The sequence below is a fragment of the Homo sapiens genome, chromosome 1 (genome assembly GCF_000001405.40).
Source record: "Homo sapiens chromosome 1, GRCh38.p14 Primary Assembly".
NCBI lineage: Eukaryota > Metazoa > Chordata > Mammalia > Primates > Hominidae > Homo > Homo sapiens.
In genome coordinates this window covers 215,876,729-215,898,983 of record NC_000001.11, presented here as the reverse complement: position 1 = coordinate 215,898,983, position 22,255 = coordinate 215,876,729, and the positions used below count along the sequence as shown (strand labels likewise).

At 36.3% G+C, this 22,255-nt stretch overlaps 1 protein-coding gene across 1 annotated transcript in view; it reads left to right on the top strand.

The window, feature by feature from the left end:
• The window catches only part of USH2A (usherin), an 800,558-nt gene that overhangs the window by 524,465 nt on the left and 253,838 nt on the right, over positions 1–22,255 (top strand). The window contains exons 41-43 of the mRNA NM_206933.4: positions 9,930–10,558; positions 19,886–20,220; positions 21,104–21,226. Of these exons, the coding sequence (NP_996816.3) occupies positions 9,930–10,558; positions 19,886–20,220; positions 21,104–21,226 (1,087 nt within the window). The remainder of the gene's footprint in view (positions 1–9,929; positions 10,559–19,885; positions 20,221–21,103; positions 21,227–22,255) is intronic.

The following is a 22,255-nucleotide window of genomic DNA, read 5'->3' as shown; positions in this document are numbered from 1 at the left end:
GTAATTACTCCCTGGGAGAAAGTTAGCTACTTTGCAAGGGGACACTCAGTGTTTTTGTTCTCAAGGGTATCATTTAGTAAATTATCAGCACAGTACGATAAATGGCACCCAAAGTCCAGAAAGCATTAATTCACCACCTTTTAGGAGGAACATTACATACACTCTGGGGAATCTGGACACCATGATCACCAGATTTATGGACTGAAGACTTCACACTCAAAATAGATTTTTGAAGAAACATTTGAAACAACTGAAGATAGATTTGTAATCTCCTTCTTATATATAGCAGCATGCTTGATGGCACTAAATAAAGATTAGCCAAAAATAATTATTCAACCCACTGCAGAGGTGATGGCTCAATAGAATGCTTGGAAGAAGGGAGAAAGCATTTTTTTTTTGGCACAGCATTCTTTATTCTCCTAGAGAAAGGGCAACACTCAAACTTCCTCAGCGGTAATCTCCCCACAATTTTCACTGAATGAGGGCCATGACCTGCCATCTATAGGCAGGGAGGTAGCACATAAATAAGCAAAAGTCCAAAATATTGTAAAATACCAATTAGCATAGCATCCTTTGTTGAGCAAACTTACCTTTGGTCTCCTTTTTACTATAAAACAAGCCTTATAGACCACACATACACATCGTTAGAATTTTCATACCCAGAGACCCTCCATTGTTGTGGTATTTAGGGCTTGAGTTTAAAGTGAGTGGTATTAACCCTTCATTTTCCTTAAGTAAGAATTAGTAACACTTGAATAAATAGCAGGTATCAACTCATAACCATTATTTGTGTTTAAATCCGTTCCCCAAAATGAATGAACTCTTCCTTCCTCTGCTTTGTGTATACACTGTGAAGTCACATACATAGCAAAGAACTGGAAGGAGGCCATGTGTACCTGCAGGTTACGTTAGCAGTGCACCTGAGACATGGTGACAGGGTACTGTATATTTTAGATGTCAGTGGAGATGGATGCCATCTCTGAAAGGATATGCAATTGAGTTGACAAAGACTGAGTGATTGGCATTGGGCACAAGCAGTTTTTCTGTCAAGGCTACAAAGCATTGCTTATAAAACCACCCATGTTGACAGCTCCATGCCAGAATCACACTTCTTACTTGATCCTGACCAGCACCTCCTGCTCACCAAAGTGCAATTTTCTTTCTCTTTCTTTCTTCTTTCTTTGTTTCTTTCTTTCCCCTCTCTCTCTTTCACTTTCTTTCTTTCTCACTCTCTTTCTCTTTCTCTCTCTTTCTTTCTTTCTCTTTCTTTCTTTTCTTCCTTTCCTTCATTTTTTGAGACAGCGTTTCACTCTATCGCCCAGGCTGGAGTGCAGTGGCACCATGTCAGCTCACTGCAACCTCTGTCTCCTGGGTTCAAGCAATTCTTCTGCCTTAGCCTCCCAAGTAGCTGGGATTACAGATGCCCACCACCACACCCAGCTAATTTTTTTAATATTTTTATTAGAGATGGGTTTCACCATGTTGGCCAGGCTGGTCTCGAACTCCTGACCTCAGGTGATCCAGCCGCCTCAGCCTCCCAAAGTGCTGGGATTACTGGTGTGAGCCACCTCACCCAACCCAAAGTGCAATTTTCAATGTAGAAATTTCACATATCGTCTTACAGAACGAAACAGAGAAGTCGCCTCGTGCCCACATTTAAATTCCATACCATCAACAGGCACCTTTCTGCATCAGCCACAGCCTCACAGCTTTCCAGTGCCAAAATGGGTCACCAATGGCAATATTTTTAGTGTGACATTTCAAGACAGTGATTTTCAGCAAGCCTGTGACACAGGTGAAACCACAAAGAGAAATCTAGGCAGGCAATGAGCTACAGCCAGAGAAGCAAATGCATGGGTGCAGAGAAGTTATCATGGACAGGGAAACAGGATGTGAAGAATTTTAATAGATTTTTTTTTCAAATAATTTGTCATTTACACCAGTGTGCCACCAATATCCAGTTCCATGCATTTTTAAAAATCTAGTGTGCTGATGCCAAATAATCATAATGCACATTTCCTATGAATATTTTAAATCCTGTTAAATGTGTGTTAATAAAAGATGTTTGTTCCAGCCAATTTGGTCAGTGTAGTGTTTAACTGGTTGCAACCAGATAAATACAAACAACACATTATTTTTTAAATGTGCTGCTGGCAGTCCAAGCACCTGGCATGTCCACAGCTTGCAAAAATGTCCTAAGATTATGTTAGGCTTGGGAGCATGTGATTAATAAAATGAAGGCACTTGCCTAGCAGCTGAAAATGTTGATATCTTGAAAACAAAGATAACCATCACTCCTGATTATATGATTGTTCCTTCTCTCTCGTATGTTTGCAATTGTTTTCTGTATAGTACATGCATGTAGAAATTAGAGTTGGCAGGGAGGGCAAGTTTTTCAAACCTCAGCTTAAATGTGGATGTATTCTTTTGCCTACCGAAATCCTGCCTTGTGTTAACTATGAATTAACCTACTTTTTCTTAAAATTGTGGATTCCCCAGCCCAAAAAAGTTAGATAATCTGTTTCTCTTAAGATTTCCCAGGAAATAAGATTGAAATATGGAATATCTAATTTCAGTCATTTTAATGACAAACATATATGGCATACACAAGCAATTAGATCAACTAATGAAATTGAAATCATTTTCTAAAAATCACTTCCCTACCCTCAAAAAAAAAAACCCCAAACTTGAATTCACTTTAGATTTTAACAATTTAGTTGTCATATATTTAAAAATGTTTGATCGTTTCCCAAATTTGTAGTTTAAAATTCCATATTTATATTTTTAACCACTAGTCTAAGAGGCACTACTGCATAAAACCTGTAGAATTCGAACAGTTTATTCTGTAGGTTTACTTAGACAACTTTTCATTTGTTCATTATTTTGATGACACAGTGATATTTTAAGTACAGTTATATGCTGCACAACATTTCAGTTGATGATGAACCACATATATGACGGTGGACCCATAAGATGATGATATCATATTTTTACTGTACCTTTTCTGTGTTGAGATACACACTTATCATTGTGTGACAAATGCCTACAGTATTCAGTACAGTAACATGCTGTACAGGTTTGTAGCCTAGGAGCAACAGGCTATACCACACAAACTAGCTGTGTAGTGGGCTATACCATCTAGGTTTGTGTAAGAACACTCTAGGATGTTTGTACAACAATGAAATCGCCTAATGGTGCATCTGTCAGAATGTATTCCTGTCATTAGGTGACACAAGACTGTACCATTGCCATGCTATATTTGCTCATTGCATTACATCTTGTTATTTTTTCACATTTATAATTGCACTGTGAACAGAGGAGAGGGCAATGAAGGAAATTGTCTTACTGCCTGGGTCCTGCTTTACTTTTCCCCTCAGCAACCTTCATCCATCCTTCAGATACTCACAGTAATTTACAAAGGAACAGAGGTTCTTCTGGAGTAAGACAGAAAGGCAATGTGAGGTCAATTGAAATCTAGATCTAACAGAACATGCTTCTTCCTCTTTTGTTGCCTGACATAATTCTACACATTCATCAAGCCCCAGCTCAAGTGTCACTTCCTCTGTGAAGTTTTCCTTCTTGTTGCTCCCTTAGAATTTTGGTTTGTGTTTACTAGTGAATCATCAATATCCCCTTCTGAATTGTAACGTCTCAAGACCTAGGGATCTGTCTCAACTATCTTTCTATCACCAGTGTCTGGCGAAGGGTCTGATATAGAGTAGGTGCCCCAAAATTCTTACTCAAAGTACTGATTAAAAGCAGAGTTTGATTGAAGTAAATCCACAAAAACTCAATCAAGCAAACATTTACCGTGTACCTACTGTGTACCAGGGACTAAAAGAGATATGAAAGTTGCAAGGATGGATATGATACTGTTTTTCCCTTGAGATTTCCTCTGTCTGGCAAGGAGCACACACAGTAAAACCATAGTTAGAGTGAAAGAGCTGAGTTGTCCATGAGAGCAAGCTCAGAGGAAGGGCATGGCCCCTCAACATGAGGGCCAGGAAAGCCTACCCAGAGAAGACCAGGAGAGGAATTGGAAATGATTTATATTTGGAGTGCACTTTAATATCAAAGTTCAAATTTACACCATCTCCACTTGTTCAGGGTAAGGCTGGAAAGCAATTGCTGTAAGAGAGCACTGACATATGAGACCTGAAGAGGGACTCTCAGGTTGTCCTGTCGGTCGTTCCAGCCTCTGAGTATGAGGCGAGGAGGGTGGGGACAAGAGGTGAATGTAAGAGAGGGACATCCCAAAAGTGATTCTCATTTTTTTACCTTGGTCAGAGGCAGGCTTCTGGCTGTCCCTCTGATTCAATATTGGCTGCTGTCTTGGCTAGGTTAACGAATGTTCTAGTTAGAGAGGCTTCTGCCAGCCCCAAATCATGTGCTATTCGGAATGAAGGGGAGGGATGTGTAGAAAGAATTCTAAAACAAAACCATTTTTCCTGTTTTTATTCTCACAACCTGTAATAAGAGTAAAATACTCTGAGACCGTGTAACAGAAGAGGAAGGAAACATGTGGTATAAAATTTGATAAATTGATCAAGATAATTCTAGAGTAGGACTTCCGAATCATTTAAGTGCACATATGCCCTTAAGATTACTGAAATTTTAAAACTAATATTGCATGACAAACATCTTATGTTTAGGGCATTTTAGAATTTAAAGTTTCACTTGCATCCTTAAAATCATTCTACGCAACACAAGGAAAATCGGAATATTTTTAAATGAGAGTGGAACATATTTATATGAGTACATTTTATTTAATGAAGAAAGAGGAACTACAAGTTTCAGTAGTGCTACACAACTATTTTGCTTTCTCCATTCCAAATATTTTTCCAGTTGCCTTAAGTACTAACCTCTGATTGCTGACATGTTTTTCCTTTCAAACAGTAATTCAGGTATCTATTTTGCATAGAACAGAAGACCCATGATCAAAAATAACATTTATAATCTTCTGATTTTGAGAGCAAAATGGTTCTGCATGTTTTCACTACATACTTTGTTTTCTGTTGCATAGATTTTCTCCACAAATTCCTGAATTTTCAGAATTAACAAATTCAAATATTTACAATTATTTTTATATTTTATTTTTATAATGTAAGATCAAAAGGAACTTATTCAAGCCAAAAATGACCAATACGGAATCCTTTGAAAGGATGGATTGATTAATCAAAAATTCTATCCACCTTGCCTCAATTTCCCACTTAAGCTCTCGAATCTCCCCTGGGCACTTAAAGCACACTCCTCTTCCAAATATAGAGTGCTTGTAATGTCTGTGTTTCTTACAGCTGAAGACTGCAGGTGAAAGTAATGAAAAATCAAGTTTTTTATGTTTACTTTAAGAAATTAATGAAAAATAATTTTATCATAGCTGCCTTATTATCACTACTTAAATTTTATTGAGGGTGTATTATATGCAAGACACTTTAGCAGGAAAAGTATATCCTCTCATTATCCAGAAATGCTATCTGCTGGCCTTCCACTATTTTTAAAAACTATTCTTGTTCTTTAGCTTTGAAAAAGTTAAATTGTCAATATTTGAAAACTCTCAGTGGACTATGTGAGATCATTCAAAGATAATTGCCACAGGTTGATATTTAATGGCATGAGTTTAGTTTTAATTCTCAAATCTTAAATTCTTAGAGAGTCAAGTATCTAAAAACTGCTGGTTATTAACAAAAAGATGGATGTTTACCATAATCATTTTCTATAGCATTTTCTATAGCACCTGCCTATAAAAGAACATTCTGCAATGCTAAAACAATACATAGATTCATTTAATCTTGTTGTCTTCCTCATTTTGATAATGTACCTGTAAACAGAGTTGATTTGCTATATTTGGAATAATTCAGATAAGTTTTGCCCAAATATAAGGAGTGAATGTGATGACCTTTAGGTTTTTTAGGATGTTTTCCTGACTTCATGAATTCTCACATCAATGCATTTTATTTTCTGCACCAAATTATCGCAGATGCATCTACTACGATTCACCCCACAATATGCCCCAGCTCTAGAGGTTGAAACATTCTTTCTAAACAATACTCTCCTGATATCAGGAGAAATAGAGAAAAATAGTTCCCGAATATTGGTTCTCCTATTTGCAAACTATCAAATAATGTCCTTCCAATTCCAACAGCCTTTTAGCCTTCAGAGGTTTCTTTCATTAAATAATGTTACTTATGTTATACAGCCCATTTCCTTTTTTATCAGAGTCAGGCTGAAAGTTCATTTTTCTGCAAAACTGCAGTGCCCATTCTTAATTTTTGTTTTGAGAAATAACTGTTGTACCCTCTTTATTATCACAAGATTAATAATATTTCTTTATTTTATTGCTCCTCTTACATTTGGATCTTTTATTATGAGCTGTCAAAAATTCTTTTGGGAAGTAGTTGGGGTATAAATAATAAATCGATAAAAGAATTCATGATTAAAGACAAGATAGAATCCATTATTCTGTTAACATATCAGTAGTGAATAACAAAAGGCTACATTGACAATTAGCATGCAATATATTGCTTTATATAATTATACATCCATATATTTGCCACTTTGATTTTTAATTCACTGGTAAATTTAGGGGATACTCATTTATGGAGTTAATATTACCAAAAAGAGTTTTTAAACTGAGCGAGGCTTTAATTAGAATGGTAAAATATTGCTTCAGGGCAACAATGAGAATGTAACAAGAAAACTGACTGATCAGTCATGGGTAACTCGAATAGCAAACAAGTAGAGAAGACTCACAAAACCACTGAAAGTTATATACACACTCAAGTTGTGAGTCATTCAAACTGGGTATTCATACACATGTATACAAATACAAACAAGTGTGTGCGCACACACCCTTTCCAATATACACACCTGAATATAAAACTAAATAAGCAGATTCCTCTGTTAACAATTTTATTACTCTATTTTAGGCTGGGGCTGAACTTTTGAAGCTGATGAGCAAAATAGTTTCCCATAAAAGATAATTTCATTTGCCAAAATGAAACTACTTTCCGTTATTAATGTTGCAATGAAATGGTTTGAAATATGAGTCTGTGATCTGGACAGAAAGGATGCTCCTGTTCCCAGCTCCAAGAGGGAGTTCTCTAAACAATTACACCCACGGAGAGCGCTGTAAGGTTGTATTTTCATCACCGGCCAGCTGAGCTGTGTGCCTGTCATACTCCCAGTCTCCCCTCCAGTGACAGCCGCATTGACAACATGTTATACTCCACATTGATTTTACAGTTAAGGAGCTGATTGTGATATATAGAGATTTTAAGAATTCAGCTGAGAGGCTGACTTTTGCCTTTTATCATTCCATTAAAATTTTATAACCATCTTTTTCATGTCATTTCATCCATGAATTCTTACTTTAGAAAGTGATAGCTACTGCTGTGAGCATAACTTTTCTCATGTTCAGAGCTTTTTATTGTATTAGCAAACTACCCCAATTATAGTTATTACTCATGTTTTACATAATTGTGGTGGCCCTTTCAACCATGCAGTTGCAGGCCAGTTGATTTGTATATAGAATTAGATGATTCGGCTTATCATTTTAAAGCACTAAATTGAAAGAGTGCCAGGAGTCAGGTTTTAACACTTCCCTAGCCAAAGGAGCTAATTAAGCTGCTTTCAGCTTCCTCTCCAGAATCACACAAGTTAAAGGACCCTTCTGCAACAAGAGCAGCGAATCTACTCAGCCAGAGCAGGAAGCTAATAAAATGTATGCTGGCTTTTAAGGGGGAAACAAATCATGAAATTGAAATTGAACACCTCTCCTTTCCCAAGATAAGAGATCATCTTTAAGAAAAGGCTGTGTATTGTGGGGGTTTGAAGTGCAAGTTCATCTCATTATCATGGATGTTTCACCCATAATACTATCATCATATGCAGGAGAAATAAAAGCCTTATCCCCCAATCACAGAGAACAAACTGCATCATTGTTGTTTCTTTTCCCTGAAGATGCTCACAGTTTGATAGTTCACATATGAGGAATAATTATGCAAGACCCAGATGAAAACCCTAATAAAAAATATTCTGATTTTTAAGTGTATATTACTCTCTTTGGGGAAGAGAGGGTGAGATAAGGTTAGACATTAAAGACTTGAATCTCCACCATTGATTTTACGAAACCCAATCTCAGGGGATTTGGGGGTTTTTTTAGATTTCAAAACAACATTGATATCTTACAAGACTCGTACTTGCTTTTCTCTGGGAAATAGCCAAATCTAGATGACAAGCATAAATAAGAAAGGAGCTGTATCCCCATTTTGATATAATAATTGCTACTGCTACTGTATACCAGAGAGCAAAAGTAAGAAATGGCATAGTGGTTTTAAGAAAGCTTTAAAATGAAAGCTAACAAGAGACTGAAACGGAAAGTGTGATTTATACCATGACTGCTGGTTTTAGGGTTTTTTTTAGGGATTTCTCTTCAAATAGGATACATTACCAAATTGTCAGAAATAGCTTGATTTCAGAGTTAGTGCACTATAACATCTTTTGCTTCGAAAAGTGATTATGATTCTACCATCAGTCCAGTTGGTGACAAATACGTGGATCCTGTTGTGTGAAAGTGTACTCATATAACCAACTATTATTGCAGTCACTGGCCCTGCAAAGCAGTGGTTGCATTTAAAATTTCAACCTTCTTTGTAACACTGAATCGCATACACACACTCACAAGATCAACGCTGTTTTAAACAATTACTAAATCCAAGTATATCTTTTTTAAAGATTTTCAATAAAATCTAATGTTCACAGAAAAATCTCATAAATGTCAAAATTGCTGTGGGCAGAAAAGGGGGGATACAGTATTTTCTTGATCTGTTTTAGCAATTTATAGATTTCAGGCCGTGGTTTATAAGAATGCTAAATGTTCTGGAATTACAGCTGTTACTGATCAGTGATTGAGCCAGATTTGTGTTATTGCACCATGTTCTTGCTTGTACCTAGAGAGCAGTAAAGCCTCAATATAATAAAAAGCACCTGCATTTTAAATGAAATTTCAATTGAAAAACTTAACAGCCCTTCAAATTGCAGAATTTAACGCAGCCCAGTAAAGCTTAAATAACACTTTGCCCCCGCAGGCTGAGGGGTTTGCATTCAAGGTGACTTGATTGTGTCGCATGGTGAAATTATTTACAATTAAGGAATTTCTCTGGAGGGCTGCAGAATATTTGCTGTTCCACAACACCTATGCAGGCATATGGTGGGCCTTTTTCAGTATTCATGGAGCCTCCTGAACCTTTATGATAATTGAATCAGTTAGAGTGCTGAGTGGAGCAAGCATAAAACCTGTTAACCTAAAGGTCAGATCTGTGCATTGTTTATTTATCAGTAGGTGAAAGAGCTAAATCGGCAGCTTCTGTCACAGCCACAGTAAAAAATCGCCTATAATATTAACAGGGAGTAGATAAATTGCAAAACATGGATTAGAATGATAAACAGAACCAAGTATAATATAGAATATATAATGAGAGATGCTGAAGGATTTTACTGGGCTGTAAAATATGCAAGTTTGTTATGATAGTGTTATTGATTATAATTAGTTACTGGGGCTCTAGAAAAAAATGTAGGGGAAGCTAGAACTTTAGTAACAACTACCCTCTTGTATGTTTATTAAATTTATTTTTTTAAATCCTCATTTTTTAACCAATGGCTTGAATAAAAAGACATGATTTTGATAAAGCTGTCTTAGAGAGGAAAATGATCATTTTAGTTTCATAATATTCAACAAGTATTTCACACGCAAAATTTATGAGCAAAGCAATCACAGTCCTTGTCTTTATGGCACTTATTTATTTACTTATTGGCCTTTACCAAGTGTTCATTTTCATATCCTTGTAGCAGAGCTATCACTCATTTTAGCTTTGAGGAGAGGTGGGACATTTCCAAGAGGTCTGACTTTCTGGATTTATTTTACTTTACAGAACCTGGACCTGTAGTTCCTCCGATTCTTCTGGATGTGAAGTCAAGAATGATGTTGGTCACCTGGCAGCATCCTAGAAAATCCAATGGGGTTATTACCCATTATAACATTTATCTACATGGCCGTCTATACTTGAGAACTCCTGGAAATGTCACTAATTGCACAGTGATGCATTTACACCCATACACTGCCTATAAGTTTCAGGTAGAAGCCTGCACTTCAAAAGGATGTTCCCTTTCACCAGAGTCCCAGACTGTATGGACACTCCCAGGGGCACCGGAAGGGATCCCAAGTCCAGAGCTGTTCTCTGATACTCCAACATCTGTGATTATATCTTGGCAACCCCCTACCCACCCCAATGGCTTGGTGGAGAATTTCACAATTGAGAGAAGAGTCAAAGGAAAGGAAGAAGTTACTACCCTGGTGACTCTCCCGAGGAGTCATTCCATGAGGTTTATTGACAAGACTTCTGCTCTTAGCCCATGGACAAAATATGAATATCGGGTACTGATGAGCACTCTTCATGGAGGCACAAACAGCAGTGCTTGGGTAGAAGTTACCACAAGACCCTCACGACCTGCTGGGGTGCAGCCACCTGTGGTGACAGTGCTGGAACCCGATGCAGTCCAGGTAAGATACTGACTATTCTCTCTCCTTTGCAGACTTAGGAATGTACCCTGGATTGACTCTGTGTTGAACAGAGCCATCTACTGACTAAACAAACGCATTTGTTGTTTTAGGCATTCACTGGAGAAACTGGGTTTTGGCCTTTGGCCCAAACTATCTTAAATTCGATGTCAGTTTTTCATTTATCCCTGTATCCCCTTAATTATATTGTTGAGATGCTTCCATTTGCCTCGCACACCTGAAATATTTTGAATGCCACAATGATGCTTAGCTTAACCACCACGTCAGATTTAAATAGATCAGAAAATGAGAAGAGATGGGAAAATAAGGAGGAATGAATTAGCATATTAACAAAATTTTCCATTACCAATAGTCTGGTATTTTTTAATAATCAAAGAATCAAAGTAATGGGGAAAGAAATAAAAATAGCATATTAACGGGCTATCCAGAAAGTGTTCAATTATTCACCTCATTCTATTGGGAATGAACTCTAGTGGACAGGATAACTACCATTGTTTTGGCTGGCATACAAACTTCATTCAAGGGAAATTAGTGTAACCAAACAGGAGGGAGTTTTGTAGCTTAGAAGCCTCTTTTGTGTAAATACACACAGGCTTCCATGGATTCAGTCTTGTACTACTGCCAAAAGCATTGGTACAGTAGCTTGCTCACCGGAGCACAAAACAAAGGACATTTGCATAACAGCAAAGTTCATCTGCTGAAATTATTACTTGGATCTATGTTGTGTGTTCTCTCTCCCCCACCAAAAGCAAACACTAGGTGATGCTAAACAGTGTAAATTGTTGGAGAAATTTAATTTAACCTACAAATTAAAAGCTATTTTTAAAAGTCTTTGTTAGTTTTAATATGAAGCTGGTCAAAGCAACACACATTTTTGATATAAATATGTGTATAGAATTCCATTCATTAAACACTAATGGGAAATTAATTTTAAGTACACGATATACGATGTTTATTGTATGAACTGAGCAATGTAAAGAATTGCTCTTGATTCAAAATAAAAACAAAACCAAAAACAAAACCCAAGCATAGAGTTAATAATCATTCCAGAAATGACTTTTTTTTTCAATCTTGGGGGAGTTTTGTAAAACTTTGGTAGCAGTACCAATCACTATGATGCAACAAAACAAACACAGTCTCTTTACAAAGGCAACACTACATAATGGACATTGTTCTGGATTATTTCGAATAAAAATCTTATAACTAGGCGTTACTGATTGTGGCCGATCTGAAAAAGAGTAAGTATTTTCAGGCCGGGTGCGGTGGCTCACGCCTGTAATCCCAGTACTTTGGGAGGCCGAGGCAGGCAGATCATGAGGTCAGGAGATCGAGACCATCCTGGCCAACACAGTGAAACCCCGTCTCTACTAAAAATACAAAAAATTAGCCAGGCTTGGTGGCGGGCACCTATAGTCCCAGCTACTCGGGAGGCTGAGGCAGGAGAATGGCGTGAACCTGGGAGGCGGAGCTTGCAGTGAGCCGAGATTATGCCACTGCACTCCAGCCTGGGCGACAGAGCGAGACTCCATCTCAAAAGAAAAAAAAAATAAGTATTTTCAGAGGAGGAACTCAGTGTACAATTCTGCTTGATTCAGCATATATAAACAATAATTAAAAGTATCAGCTTGCCTGGCTTTTTCTTCACATTTTTACCCTCTTTTGATTTTGTAATATCATCCATGAATTAAACAATATACATGGCTTGTCAGCCTGCTAGAGAAGTTTAGATTAGCGTGGCTAGAAAGCTGAATCTCATAGGCACTCACCTGAGGCCACAAGGCATTGGTAACCCCAAGTCAGGAATCTCAATGTCTCTAAGAAGGTGTCTGAAATATATGAACATGGTACACTAGTAATATTCTAAAAATTCACACTTTTTATTCTCATCTTATAACTAGGAAATAAAAAGTTATCAATAGAATCAGCAGGAATATTCAACTGAGTCTAGTATTTAATGCTATATACTATTTAAAGAGTATTAAGATAACATATCTGTCCTTCAGTATTATTGGCTCACATGTTCAGAACGATCTTAAGACTTTACCGAAGTGGACGTTCTCGTGATATAGCTTAGCTGGTAAACAGAGGTATATGACAGCTAAACAACGACTTCTCTTTGTAAAATATGAGATTTAAAAGTCCAAATTGCAAATAGAAAATATTTTATATGAAATAACAGAAGGATAGTCATTAATGCATTGGTTAAGAAATTAATTCAACTATTTATCATAGAGGGTTGTTCCAGGTATTAGGATGGATGAAGGAAATTGACAGTAATATTAACAGCAGTAACAATAATAATTTCAGTTCTATTGACATTTACGGAACATCAGTACATGAGTGAACATCTTTGTAAGTGCCTCTTTTAGGCAGTAGGGACACAGAAGAGATCAAGATGAAGTCCCTAGGCTCATGGCGATTACATTTTAGACAGAATGCAAACAAATAACTATGTAATATACCTGGAAGTAATAAGGACTTGGGGGAGAAGAACAAATTGAGTGTAGAGAAATATGGAATGCCAGCTGATAGGGTGGGGGATAATACAAGGAGCAGAGTTGGTATTTCACCTTAGTGTTACTCATTTTGTGCAATGTGGTTTTTTTCTCCATACAATGCCACCTGTAAGAATTACAGTCCAATAGGGAAATCAAGAGAGACAACACATACTTAGGCTAACTAGAAAATAAATGCAATGTAACATATTAGTAAGTACTAAAAGAGGTGATATGACTTGGTATAAATATGAGCCTTGAGAAAGGCAAATTGGAGAGCACAGCAGCATAGATGAAATAATATGCTTAAAATCTTATTTGATTACAAGAAAAATAAATATATAATGTCAAAGAGTTGTGTCACCTGAATAAGTGAAAGCCATGCACTTTTATTTAATATTTAATCACCTAAGAAAATGTATTTCATTTTATAAGGTTGGTAAAAATGCTCTACCAAGACCTAAAACAGTTCAATGAAACTATAGACTAATTTCATTTATGAGTACAGATTCAAAATTTCTAAATAAAAGATTACCAAATTGAATTAAGCAGTATATTAAAAGAATGATATACAAGGACAAATTGATTTCATTTTAAAAATGTAAGGATGGTTCAACATCAAAAAATCTATCAACATATGTCTTACATCAACCAATTAAAGTAGAAAGCCCATATGGTTTTTTTTTATCAATAGATGCAGAAAAAAAGGCATACAATTAAGAAGTTATTTCTAACAAAAAGTCAAAGTAAAATCAGATTAGGAAGAAGGTACTTAAATGGGATAAAGTCAATGTATAAACTGCTGTACTGAAGCCTTGAATTGAGGATTGATAAGAAATAACATGTATAAATAACTAAGTTGCATGACTATGATGCACCAAAAAAAAGAAAAAAAAAACTTCTTTTATGATAACATCATGAGCCTGTAAACCTTGATGCCCCTGTCCACTTTTTCACAGGTGAAGCAGAATAAAATAGAGTAATCCTGCAGCTGTCAGCTCCTCTTATACAGTAGGGTCCTCACTCAGCTCAGACAGGTGAAGCCACCAGCCTTGGCAGGTGCGCCACAAGGAACAGTGTCACCCAGACCACAAACATGTGTAGCTTCCTTCCCTCTGCTATGTACACTTAGGGTCACTCATTTATGGGTTTGATAATAAAGCAAAGTAAAAGAAGTTGAGTCTTAATCATCATCCTCATTGACTTTTAAAGATGGGCCAATGTTTGATGTCTACTTAAAATAAACCACAGACAAAAAGTATAAAACAGAGGAAATAAAATAATAATGAAAATATATTCACTGAGTTCATGTTATGTTCTAGAAATTGCTTTCATTTAATTCTTACTACAACTGTGTCAGATAGATGCTATTGTCATTCCCATTTTACAGACAGGAAAACTGAGAATGAGGGATTAAGTAATCTGCATAAGATTACATAAGGAGTAAGAGTTGGAATTCACACCCAGGCAATAGGGTTCTGGAGCCTATGTTCTTCTCTACTTCTTTACACTGCAACAAATGGAAAAAAAGTGCAATCTTCCTGGATGGAAGGACTTAACTCCATAACAAGACAATCCTTCCAAAGTCAACATATAAACTGAACATCATTCAAATCAGAATGCCGATGTTTTTTGTTTGTTTTATTTCAAACTGGATAAAATAATTTTTTATTTTTTATTTTACTTTAAGTTCTGGGATACATGTACAGAACGTGCAGGTTTCTTACATAGGTATACATGTGCCATGGTGATTTGTTGCACCTATCAAACCCTCATCTAGGTTTTAAGCCCTGCATGCATTAGTTATTTGTCCTAATGCTCTCCCTCCCGTTACCCTCCACCCCTTGACAGGCCCCAGTGTGTGATGTTCCCCTCCCTGTGTCCATGTGTTCTCATTGTTCAACTCCCACTTACGAGTGGGAACATGTGGTGTTTGGAACATGAGGTGTTTGGTTTTCTGTTCCTGTGTTAGTTTACTGAGAATGATGGCTTCAAGGATGAAGCTGGATAAAATGATTTTGAAGTATAAATAGAAGACTAAATGATTGAAAATATTATAGAAAATTGTGGAAGAATAATGAGGTGGTACTTTCTGTAGTATGTAAACTTACTTTAAAGCCATTGAGTTATAATAATATGGTATTGGCATGAAAAAGACAAATGGTCATTGGAACCAACTAGAGAGTTTAGGTATAGATAACGAGTATTTGTTGAAATGACTTATTGTAGGTAGAATCTGCATTTTATTTCATTGGTAAAGAATGGTTTGCTTTAAAAAATGATACCAGCCCGACCAACTATCAATGTGTACGGAAAAAACAGATCCCTTTATCATATCATATTATAAATAAATTCCCATAAATTAAAAATGTTAATGTTAAAAAAGTAAAAATCTTAGAAAAAAAGGAGAATTTCATGTAATCTAAATGTAGGGGAGCACTTTCTAAAGAAAAAAAGAAACTCAGTAGCTTAAAAAAAAAAGATAGCTATATGTAGCTAGAAACAATCTGATTGATTTTCTAAGGCATAAACTTCCCCCCCACCCACCAAAAAAAGTTAACATCCAAAAGATAGATCTGGAAAGTACATCTGTAACACATACTACAGACAAATCAATTTCACCTTAATATGCATAGGCCTTCTAATAATTTATAATACAAGATACTTTAATAGAAAATAATTTAGGTAAGAGGATATATTAGGTTGGTGCAAAAGTAATTACGGTTTTTACCATTAAAAATAATGACAAAAACCACAATTAATTTTTCATTCATACCTCACATAAAGTCAAGGGAGTGAAAATTAATTAAAGAAACAAGTAATATTAGCAAAAACGAATATCAGTAATTTCAAGAGTTTGTGGAGGCACAGATCACGGATAATTTCATTGTTTATGATAAAGTGAATTTCCCCAACTTTTTAAGAAAGTAGTATATCAATAATGATTAAAATTAAACATGCATTTTCCTTTTGGCATGGCAATACTTGGTAATCTTTCCAATATGAAATAAACACAAGAGCACATATTGCATACATTTTCAAATTTTATTTTTAGCATAAAATAATGTCAGTAGGATTAACAAATAATTTGTTTTCAACCATGAAAGGAATATTATGCAACCATAAAAAATAATAGGGTGTGTCCATAATCAATTAAGTCTGAAAAGCAAGTTCCAGCATAAGTGGTAGAGAACTTTTTTTCTGTGAAAAGTTTTTAAAAAATAAAAGAGAAAGAGAGAGAGACCTAGGATATGCAGGAGTATATTTGCTTTGCTTGTACGAGCATACAAAAAGTATGGAAGAATAAACTTCAGACTATTAAGTTTTCACCTGAGTGAAATAAAACAGAGCCACAATTAATGTTTCTTGTATTTATATATTTGTACTCTTTCTCTGTCTGATTGAAAAAATACAAATAGAATATTTGAAATTAAAAATTAAGATTAATATTTTTAAAGGAAAGGAAGACATTGTGAAAGACAACTTTATTTCAACAAATATTTATTGCACATCTTGTTCTGTATGAATTTTTCAGGGGAGTCCATCATAAGAGGAATTACTACACTGTACGGAGTCAAATATTCCCACATGATCTTTCTTTATGGTACATTTTTATCTTCTATTGACAAAATACTCTTAGAATTATGCAATCTTATGTCTACACACGATGGCAAGGATTGTCTCATCACATTAGACATGAGGGTTCCGAGGCCTGGAGATGTTAAATGTTTTGCCTAAAGCCACACCGCTTTGAGACATTTATCATCTCTTAGTCCATTCTTAACCCATATATCAATCTTTATAAATGCTCTTATTCATGAAGTTCTTCAAAATAGTTTGATGGAGTTAAAGAAGTGAGGAAGTTGCTTACTATGCTTTTGGGTGTTACTCTTTTCAAGCCTGAAGCCAATCAACTAACCTGCATGTCTAAGTTTCTGCTTAAAATGGGGAACTTTGAAGGTGCCATGATTCTTTTTAGAGAGACTTTTCAGGGATGTAAAAGAGCTGCTGAAAGTCAATCGTTCCTTAAACACTTAACCGGCAATTTAGCCGTCCTATTTTCTGAAGACTTACAATAAACAGAAAAAATGGAAACCTGAATCATTAAGAACCACTCAAATAAAAGAAGTCATTGTGATAGGAAAGCCATCTCTGAAATAAACATTTTATTTCCAGTGCAAAACTATAATTCTATTTAAAAGTTTTAATGTAATATTATTGTTTTAAAGAACACATTTCTTGCTTATTCAGGCCAATAACATGTTCTTTTGTCTGAATTTTTAGGGATGCAACAATATTTCATAATCTTTCTTATGTACAATGGATATACAAAAGGTCATAGGAAATTAAACAAACTGAAAGTTTTAATCTCATATATTTTGACCACATATACAATAATAAATGTGGTCTTAAGCATAGAAAAGAATAGAATACAATATTTAGTTAACTGGCTCCTTAAAATTCTTGGACATGGGCAGGGCGTGGTGGCTCATGCCCGTAATCCCAGTATTTTGGGAGGCAAAGGCAGGTGGATCACCTGAGGTCAGGAGTTCGAGACCAGCCTGGCCAACATGGCAGAACCCCTCTCTACTAAAACTACAAAAATTAGCCGGGTGTGGTAGCACACGCGTATACTCCTAGCCACTCAGGGGGCTGAAGCAGGAGAATCGCTCGAACCCAGAAGGCAGAGGTTGCAGTGGGCTGAAATCGCACCGCTGCACTCCAGGCTGGGTGACAGAGTGAGACGCTGTCTTAAAAAAAAAGAAAAAACTTGAACACATTGATTAATTGATTGATTGATTGATTGAGATGGAGTTTCACTCTTGTTGCCCAGGCTGGAGTTCAATGGTGCAATCTCTGCTCAGTGCAGCCTCCGCCTCCCTGGTTCAAGCAACTCTCCTGCCTCAGCCTCCCAGGTAGCTGGGATTACAGGCACCTGCTACCACACCCAGGTGATTTTTGGTATTTTTATACCTTATACAAACATTAATTCAAGATGGATTAAAGACTTAAATGTTAGACCTATAACCATAAAAACCCTAGAAGAAAACCTAGGCAATACCATTCAGGACATAGGCATGGGCAAGGACTAAGTATTAATGGTTTAAAGTGTTGCCAAGCTCTGACCTGAACTCTCAAAGTATTCTGGTCTAAGAGGCAAGAAAGCCGTATTCTTCAGATTAGTCAGGTTGAATTTAGCTGTGATAGCTCTTCTTTTTTTCATTTCTGTTACAAATACCAGGAAGCTCTCTGAGTTTGACCTTGACTCATTTTCCGGGTCCACAGACAGCATTGCACCTCCAAAACAAATAGCGTCCTATATCTGTGCTACAACCTTTGCTAGTTTTAGGGTGTTTTTAAAAATATTCCCCACATCCAGGCAAATCCTCTATGTTTATAAGGAACACATCTAAAACTTCTCTTCATCCCAGCCTCTCTTCTTAGAACTCTCCAAAAAGTTTTTTTAAGATTCACAATGATTTCATCCCCTGTAGTATAATTTGGTAGATATTGGCCCATTGTTAATTATAAATTACCAAAGTAATCATCAAGCAATTGTCCAACTAGCATGTGGTGAGAGCCCTTTTGTCACCAATTATTAGTAAGAATACTCTTTAAAAAATCTCAGGTCATAGTCTTCCTGGATGAAACCTTCTCCCTTTGATTTAAGATAGAAAATTATGGTCAGTCCTTCTCCATTTTAATTTCTATATTGCTCCTCTTTGGTTTGCATAGGGGTACAAATGTACATATAAATATGTCACCTTGTAGAAACCTGTCTCTTAAAGTTTCAAAATAACTGTATGCTAGGGAAAAAAATATAATCTAACAAAACATGACTCTAATTACTAACTGAACTCCACCTCTGTGCACATGGTACTAAGTGAATGTAGAGTTTATCCCTGCTATGAAGAAGCTTACAGGCTGGGACATGAGATATATATCCTGGCATTTATATAAAGAGCACTAGAAGGTACCAATAAAAGAGATGAAAGAGGATAACATGTAAATAAATGATTTTTGTCATGGCCTGTGCACATTTTTTAGGATCTCTTTCCCCATAAGAACATGAGTGTGTTACCACTATGCTCCTGTAGAGTTTAGCCAGAAAAGAAAATAAACTTCAGACATTCTAGAATTCTACTACAAAATGTTGTTCTTTCTTCTGATGCTCAAGTCCACATGTTAGCTAAGCACAAACATCTTTGGCTTCCCTTTTTCAAAGCTTTCTATACATTCCTTATCCCTGAGAAGAGGATGTGCTATTAATGCTTTAATTGCTAAGTTATATATAAATAAGATTCAGGAACTCAATTTTGCATCTTCGGAAAATATGAATAATGATTTCTCTTTCCCTTCCTCCAAGAAAAAGTGACTTATTTGGCAGTCACACTAACAGTGCAAAGAAATGAGTTCTGATGTTTCATTTAGTTGAGTTATAAACATGAAAACCATCAAATCCTATGCAACCCTATTGAAGCATGTGGATGTGTGAATTTTCTCCATGTGTTTGCTCTGTGTCCTTCAGAACACCCACAGTGGCGATGAATCGCTAAGGTGTGTATCAGTCTGACAGTCGTAGAAAGTGGCAAGACTGAAAGCCAAACCCAGGAAACAGCATTTCATTTAGCTCCTGGAGTACTGCTAATTGATCTCAAACCCTTCATTACTGTCTAGTCCAAAGGCCTCAGGAGAATGTAGCCATTTAGAAAATGACTTAACTGAAAACAAGAGCAAAATTCTAGGCCTCGTGAACTTCAATTGCTCTATTCCTGTATCGTCACACTGATTCTAAGTTTATCTTTCATTTCAGGTCACTTGGAAACCCCCACTCATCCAGAACGGAGACATACTTAGCTATGAGATTCACATGCCTGACCCTCACATCACTTTAACCAATGTGACTTCCGCAGTGTTAAGTCAAAAAGTTACTCATCTGATTCCTTTCACTAATTATTCTGTCACCATTGTTGCTTGCTCAGGGGGTAATGGGTACCTTGGAGGGTGCACAGAGAGTTTACCTACCTATGTTACCACTCACCCCACCGTACCTCAGAATGTTGGCCCATTGTCTGTGATTCCACTAAGTGAATCATATGTTGTGATTTCTTGGCAACCACCATCCAAGCCAAATGGACCTAATTTGAGGTAAGAGAAGGTGACTATGATTTTTATGTTGCTGTAGTCCTTATCTCTCTGAGAAGTAGGGAAATGAAGGAGGCTTTTATTCCTATATGAACATAGAACTAATTTGGCATTGAATATCCCCTGACTCATAACTTTCATACACTATCATACTGTACACTTCAACTTATTATGGAAACATCAAAGTTTATCAATTTGAAGAACTAAAAACCCTTGAAACCACAATCACTATTGTCTAAGGATTCGCTACATAATCCATCACTTCATTTTCAACATATGCTTTTATTATATGTTAGGCAAACCTGATGTAGGTTCTATATGATACATTTGCACAAATGTACCTCAGAATTCTAAGGCTAACACAGTAATTCTTTGGCATGTTGTTAGCTTATGGAAACTTGTGAGGAGTGTGGTCAGGGAGCCCGATACGATGAAAGAAAAGAGCTGTGATTCAGAAATGGTTTTGCAACCACCCAAACTTGATACTTGGCCAAGAATACAAAGTTGATAATATTATCATCGTTTATAAAGTATTGATAGTCATAGGAAACCATTAACTTGATAAGCTTTGTGTATTTCTACTTTGTGCGAAACTGGCAGTAAAGATTTGGCACATCTAACTTAGAAGAAATCTAAAATGCTATCATTCTGGGAGATAATAGTAAAATGCGAATGTAACTGATTCTTCAAAATATTAAATATATGGAATTTGGTCCAGAAAAAAAAACGTTCATCTGAAACAAAACCACGTAACTGTAAACTTAAGATGTTATTCTTTATGCTTCCACGCATATATCACACGCACATGCCACAGAACAGCCTGAGTTTTGGTAATCTCAATATGAGTTGAGATAATCCTGATGTTCCTGCTTGTCTTTTGCTTTAGATATGAGCTTCTGAGACGTAAAATCCAGCAGCCACTTGCATCAAATCCCCCAGAAGATTTAAATCGGTGGCACAATATTTATTCAGGAACTCAGTGGCTTTATGAAGATAAGGGTCTTAGCAGGTGAGATTACAAAAACTATAAAAACAAATGCTGGCATTTAGTTCTGGGCATGTTGAATAGTTCAAAGTATCTCAGTGTCTTCATTGTGTGAGCGTGTTATCAGTTATGCAATAAAACATGTTTGGTTATTATCTGTGGCATTAATCACCCAGCTGTAACAGTCAGCATGTTTAATGTTTTCCATCTTAACTGCATGCTTAAAATAAGCCTTTTGAAGTTGAACTTGTAGATGTTCAAGCCTTAACCTATTGCCTTTGTCACGGCTCCATCTAGACATAAAACGTTATGGAAGAATTTGGAAATATTGAACACATACAAAATGGGGAAAATTCCTGGGCACTTGTAGAATGCTTGCTATTTCTAGAAATGGCTTATAAATGAATTATAATGACTTATAATTGATTGTAAGTTATTGATTCAGTCCGCAAAAGAAAACATTAGTGAACAGGATTGGGACTTGAAAGAATTCAATCTAGAGTTCAAAGACATTCAGTAAAGGCTAATAGGTGACAGTAGAAAAGGGTGCTACATGGGAGAGTTAGGAGATCTGGTTCTGCTTTAGCCTGTGCTGGAGAACTAGCTTTGTGACTTTAGGCCACAAAGCTTCACTACTTAAAAATCACTTAACTTCTCTGGGCTTCATTTTTGTTGTCCATAAAATGAGGTGATTTTATAGAATTAAATGACTTCTAAATCTTCATGAGTTCAAGCAATGTGATTAAATTTCAGAAAACATGAACGTTATTTTATGAAAACTCCTCGATCATATGTTTCAGTAACTTTTCTATGTGGGTCATTATTTTTCTAGACCCACCACTGGGTAGCTGTAGTCTGAACCCTGTTTACCATTCTAGCCTTGTCTCCCATCCCTTTCTTACCAAGGCCTCTGCATTCCAGCCACATTTGTATTGCATTCAGTACCTCCAACATACAACACTTGCTCTTTCAGCTTTTCCCCATAGTTGCCTTTTCCTGTTGCCTGACTAGATCATCTGCCACGTCTTAGCCTGGAGGTTTCTTCCTCTAGGA